Source organism: Homo sapiens, chromosome 6, assembly GCF_000001405.40.
Source record: "Homo sapiens chromosome 6, GRCh38.p14 Primary Assembly".
NCBI lineage: Eukaryota > Metazoa > Chordata > Mammalia > Primates > Hominidae > Homo > Homo sapiens.
In genome coordinates, this window is record NC_000006.12 from 13,533,715 (window position 1) to 13,539,714 (window position 6,000).

Consider the following 6,000-nt stretch of genomic DNA (forward strand, 5'->3'; position numbering starts at 1 on the left):
ATTACGTTTTATTTTTAAAATAAAGCAATTATCTGGGGATTTTGGAGCCTGACCTAGTTGACATAAAGCCCACAGAAAGAAATAAAGTCAAGGAGAAGACAGAGGAAGAAGGAGTGAGTACTCTCTGCAAAGAACATGTCTCAAAACCAGAAATCAGAAGGCCCAGGGTATCAGGCCGGTCCTTCATGCTCTAAGTGGATTTCCCTCTTAAACTCCGCAATGACCATTCAGTGAGTGTTAGAGTTTTGACCGGATGGAAAGGATTCTTATATGTAAAAAAAAATTGGCCAGGAACAGTGGCTCACGCCTGTAATCCCAGCATTTTGGGAGGCCGAGGTGGGCGGATCACTTGAGGTCAGGAGTTGAGACCAGCCTGGCCAACCCAGTCTCTACTAAAAATACAAAAACAGCCGGGAATGGTTGCAGGTGCCTGTAATCCCAGCTACTTGGGAGGCTGAGGCAGGAGAATTGCTTGAACCTAGGAGGCAGAGGTTACAGTGAGCCGAAATCATGCCATTGCACTCCAGCCTGGGCGACAAGAGCAAGACTCTGTCTTAAAAAAAAATTACGTTATAATTCTATCTCATTAGGTCCTGCAAACGAGAGGCAGGATGAGTTCTCACCCAAAAGAGCACATTTATGTCAACTCTGGAGTTCACCAATGCATTGAATAAATCGAAGCTCCCTAAAAGGCTCACCTAATATTCTGAATTATGTTTTTATCAAAATAAATATAAAACACTCCTGCGCTAGGAAAGCTAAAGTGCCGACATATATTGATACAAACCAGGGCTCTCTCAAGCAAACCGAGTACACTTCTGTTGGATCATAGAGGGACTAGGGCTTTAATTCTTATTTTCCCCAAAGAGGTATTTATATGCACCACAGGTGGAGAGTGGCAAAGGTGCAGGGGCCAGGAGAGGCCTTGGAGGAGCAGGGAGCAGCCCGACGTGGCTGGCATGGTTGGGGCTGGGCAGGAGAAGAGGCTGATGATCCAACAAGGCTGTGCATGCCCAGATAAGGAGCTTGGACATCTCTCACAGGAAATCCGGAGCCCTTGAAGGTCAGGGCAATGCAAGGACCCTTGGCCCTTCCAGCTGCCAACAGTAGATGCAAAGCAAAGTCATGGAATGATGAGAAAGTGCAGAGTAAGTGAGCTCAGTCTCCACTGCTCAGTCACTGCTCAGCTCTGAGAGGCAGGGTTTGTCACCTCACTTCTGGAGTCTCAGGTACCTGGTGAAGTGCCATAAAGGCAGGGATGTCAATCAACTATTTAGCTGCCAGTGAAAAATAAGACATTCTCAAACATGAAACATATAGTAATATGTAAAGGTACATCATGTATGTGATACACACTAACCTTGCAGACTTACTTAAAACAATCATGAATCATGTTCTGTATTCTCCATTCCTTCATCTGATAATAGTAATTCTTGGTAATGAGAAAAATACCCAGGCAGGTAATCAATTCAATGGCTGTCAGTTGTGTTTTCAATTTTCACTAGACTCTGCCCAGCCTATTTAAGGCACTTCAAAAATTAAATCTTTTCCTGAAAAGGTGAATTTTCAGTAAAGAACCAAATAAACTTTCAAATTGTATTATCTGAACATTATTGTTACGGCAGCTGGAATTCTTGATAAAAATTCCAGGAAACCTAGTTGTGAGGAGAAATGAATACTGCACATTGGGAGATAACCTGGATCACTGTGAATCACTCTGGACTTTAAAAAAAAAAAATCCTGATGATCCATCACATTCCAGGCCATTTATATGCAAGCCAGTTGGCTCAGCATCTCTGGGGGAGGACCTGGGCATCAGTACTTATTTCCTAAAACTCCCAGGTGTCTTCAGTGAGCAGGTGGCAACCAAGCTGAATATAGAATCACCTGGAGATTTTTTTACACTACTGACATCTGCCTGCACACCCCCAGCCCACCCCCTGCCCCCGCCGCCCCTGCACACACCACACCAGAGATTCTGATCCAGTTGATCTGAACAGGGACCTGGCTTTTCTTTTTTTTCTTTTTTCTTTTTTTTTTTTTTTTTTTAAGACAGAGTCTCACTCTGTCACCCCAGCTGGAGTGCGGTGGCCCAATCACAGCTCACTGCAGCCTTGACTTCCCTGGATTCAGGCGATCCTCCCACCTCAGTCTCCTGAGGAGCTGGGACCACAGGCGTGCACCACCACATCCGGCTAATTTTTGTATTTTTTGTAGAGATGGAGTTTCATCATGTTGCCCAGGCTGGCTTTGATCTCCTGGGCTCAAGCGATCTGCTTGCCTTGGATGGGCATTGTTTAAGGTGCTGGCTGAGGAGTCAGGGTTGAGGTTTTCTGGCCTAAAGCGACCTCTCTAATAAATCAGTCCAGGCCAATGAACCACCTCTGGATCTTGCCTTTCCCACATTCTCCAATCTTTTGGCAGCCAGCAATGACATGGTGAGGTGAGACTCTACTTTTTCCCTTTCTAATTTGCAAATGAATTAAACCCATCACCACCTTGAGCTGTTAACCATTTTTACCTTGGTGCAAATTACCTGTGGGGCAGCAGCCCTTTGGGAATTTATCCCAGTTGATTGTTAGCTGGTATCAGAAATGTATCAACCCAATTCCTTCCTCTGAATCATTCCCTCCCTTCTTGGAATCCACAGAACTTTCTCATTGGCTCATACGCAGTTCACCTGTGGTATAGTTAGCTAAGGGTGCAGTGGGAGAGTGGCCTTGAACAAACCAGGTATGTGGCAATCCCCAAAAGTGGTTGGTTGTAAGGACGAATGAAGGGAAAGATACCGTTGTGAGTGGAGGTGCAAGAATATGAAGAAGTTTGCACCCTGTGCAGTAATAGGAATTGTGTATCAATCACTTGAGCCTTTAGAGAAGTTAAGTTGCTTGCCCAAGGCCCACAAGGTAGATGACCACATCTGGATTCAAATCCAGGTATCTATGAATCCACTGTTTGTTCATTTTTCTCTGAGTCGCATTGGCATCTTGTAGAAATAGGCCCTAAATCATATATTTGAAACCCCTGGGGCTAGAGTGGCTTGGAATTTAGAACATTTTGGATTTTAGAAGGGTAAATACATTAATATCTGTACTACAAAACATATAAAATTTATCCCAAATGGTATTTAAAAAAAAAAGCCTCCCATCAGCCTCCTGTCAATTCAGAACAGATCGTACCAGCAAGTTTGGGGTTTGCAGAGCTTTTTTTGGATTTGGGAAATGCAGATAAGAGATTGTGAACATGAGCATCAAAGAAAACAATTGCACATAGTGGCAAACATCTACTGGACGGTGAATGTTTGCCAGGCTTTCTGCCAAGCTCTGTACATGTGCGGCCCTCGCAACCAGCTTGCAAGGTAAGTGCTATTGATTACTATCCCCATTCTAAAAATCAGGAAACTGAGGCATGGATGGGCTAAATAACTTGTTTGAAGTCATATGACTAATAAATCCACTCATTTGTTCCATCTCCATTGAAGTTGAAAGCTTATAGTTGAAAAATTTTGTAGAATCATCCACTCTAGAGAAAACCTTTTTTTCTTATTGAATGATTAAAATATTTCCAGAATGACTGGCTGGCACTGCACTCTGATTTCAAAGTCTTTGCTTTACAGCTTTAAATTTGCCTTCTCTTTTTATTGCCTGTCTTGTTTTAACAGCAGCCAATTCACACAAAACAGCTGTAGGTTGTCTCCTTTGCACACTGATAAAAGTCTCAGGAGGTTTCAGGGGAAACCTTGTGCAAAGGACTGGCTCCATCAAAATGAGACCCACTTCCAATAAAGCAGGATACAATGTGGATTTCTATTAAAACAGTGTTATAAAATTAAAGTTGGATGATTGAGGAAGGCTTTTGCTTAGTAATGAGACTCTGTGGGGATGCAGAAGTTGGCCATAAACAGTGTGTTTTGTGGGGATGCAGAAGTTGGCCATAAACAGTGTGTTTTGTCTTCTGCATAACTCGGTTTCCTCTGTTCTGATAACCTGTACCTTCCCAAAGCAATCTAATAAAATTTACAGGAGTGGTTTCCTACTACTGTGCCAAACATTGTTTAGAATGCACTTTAAATACTCTCAAAGATTTAAAAGAAAAGCATCGATGTTCTAATAATTATGAAAACACATCCTCAGAATCCATATAACCATTCAAAAATCAAGGAGAACAATGTCCTTTGTTTAGTTAACCTTTCACCTTTTTTGCCTCATTAGAACTTAAAACTATTAGGCATAATATGCCTAATATAAAACATATATAACCCCAGTGACATGCATTTATTTTGTGATTAGCTGAATTTTTTATTATTTCAGAATATTAGAATATTGTTGTTTTTTTCACAAATATGTTCTTTAAAGCTTTGTTGTTATCTTAAGAGTGATTTTATTAAGCCTGTGTAAAGAGAATGTCCAGATAATGAAATCCAATAGGAAGAAGGGTGTGTCTATAGGAATTGAGTGTAAAAGCGGCTTTGAACCAATTTATTCTTAAATAAATAAGTGTCCTTATGCTGGGTTGGCTTGCCCTACAACATGGGCTGCTTTCTTCTTCACAAAGCTCCCCCTGCTGTTTAATAAAGTCTAACTTTCCCCAATTCTTTCTGAACCTGAAGTGCTTCTAATGATCCTACAAAGTTATCTACTGATGCCTCACATTTTATTACCAAAGCTAGAGCATTTGGCCAAATTTTGCAAAATGTTGAGAACGCAGTAATTCTTTAACAAATGCTTGTTGAATGAATTAGGATATTCCTGTCAACCTCACACCATAAGCCCGGCAACCAAGACAGAAAGAGGTGATGTAGCTCTCAGCTTTCACCTACTGTCCATATGACCTTGGGCAAGTCACGGCACTTCGTTCATTTATTTATTTATTCAACATTTATTGATTGTTAATCCATACCAGGCACCATGCCAAGTGCTAGGGACACAATGGTGGGCAGATAGGTGTGCTTTCTACCCTCACAGACCTTCTGAATCAAGGGGCTCTCAAACCTCGGTGTGTGTCAGATTCACTCAGAGGCCTTGATAAAATACACATGGCTGGGCCCCTCCTCCAGAGTATCTGATTCAGTGGGCTGGGGTGGGGGTCTGAGAATTTGCATGTCTAACAAGTTCCCAAGTGAGGGTGATACTGCTGGTCTGTGGGCCACACTTTGAGAACCGCTGGCTTTAAGAGGAACAGTCACAATAGTATGATAAATGCTGTGATGAGTCCTGGGTGAAACAGGGACACAGAGCAGAGGATTAATCTAGTCTATCGGGATAAAGAAAGTTTTCCCAGACACATGCGTTTAATCAATCCTAAGACCTTAACATCTCAGGCATTGGGATACAAGAAACACTGATCCTTCCTTTTTACACTTTAACATCTGCAAGATCACAATGCATTTGATGAAATACTGTAACAACATTTAAGCAGAAAGGGTAATCAAGACAATGTGGTGCTGGCACACGGAAACATGCATAAATCAATGGAATAGAATAGAGTCCAGAAGTAAATCCATATACCCATGGTTAATTGATTTTTGACAAGGGTGCTGAGATCGTTCAATGGGAAAAGGGCAGTCTTTTCAACAAATGGTGTGGAGATAACAGGATAGCTACATGCAAAAGAATGGAGTTGGATCCTCTACCCAAACCATCTCCAAAAAATTAACTCAAAATGGGTCGAAGACCTAAATGTAAGAGCAAGAGCTATAAAACCCTTGGAAGAAAATAGAGGTAGATCTTCATGACCTTAGATGTGGCAAAAGATTCTTAGATATGACAACAAAATCATGAAAAACAAAAGAAAAAAATAGATAAATTACATTTCATCAAAATTAAAAGCTTTTATGTTTCAAAGGACACCACCAGTAAAGTGAAAAGATAACCCACAGAATGGGAGAAAATGTTTGCAAATCATACATCTGATAAGGGACTTGCATCTAGGATATTTAAAGAACTCTTATGAAGACAATCCAATCAGAAATGGGTAAAATATCTGAATACACTCTTCCTC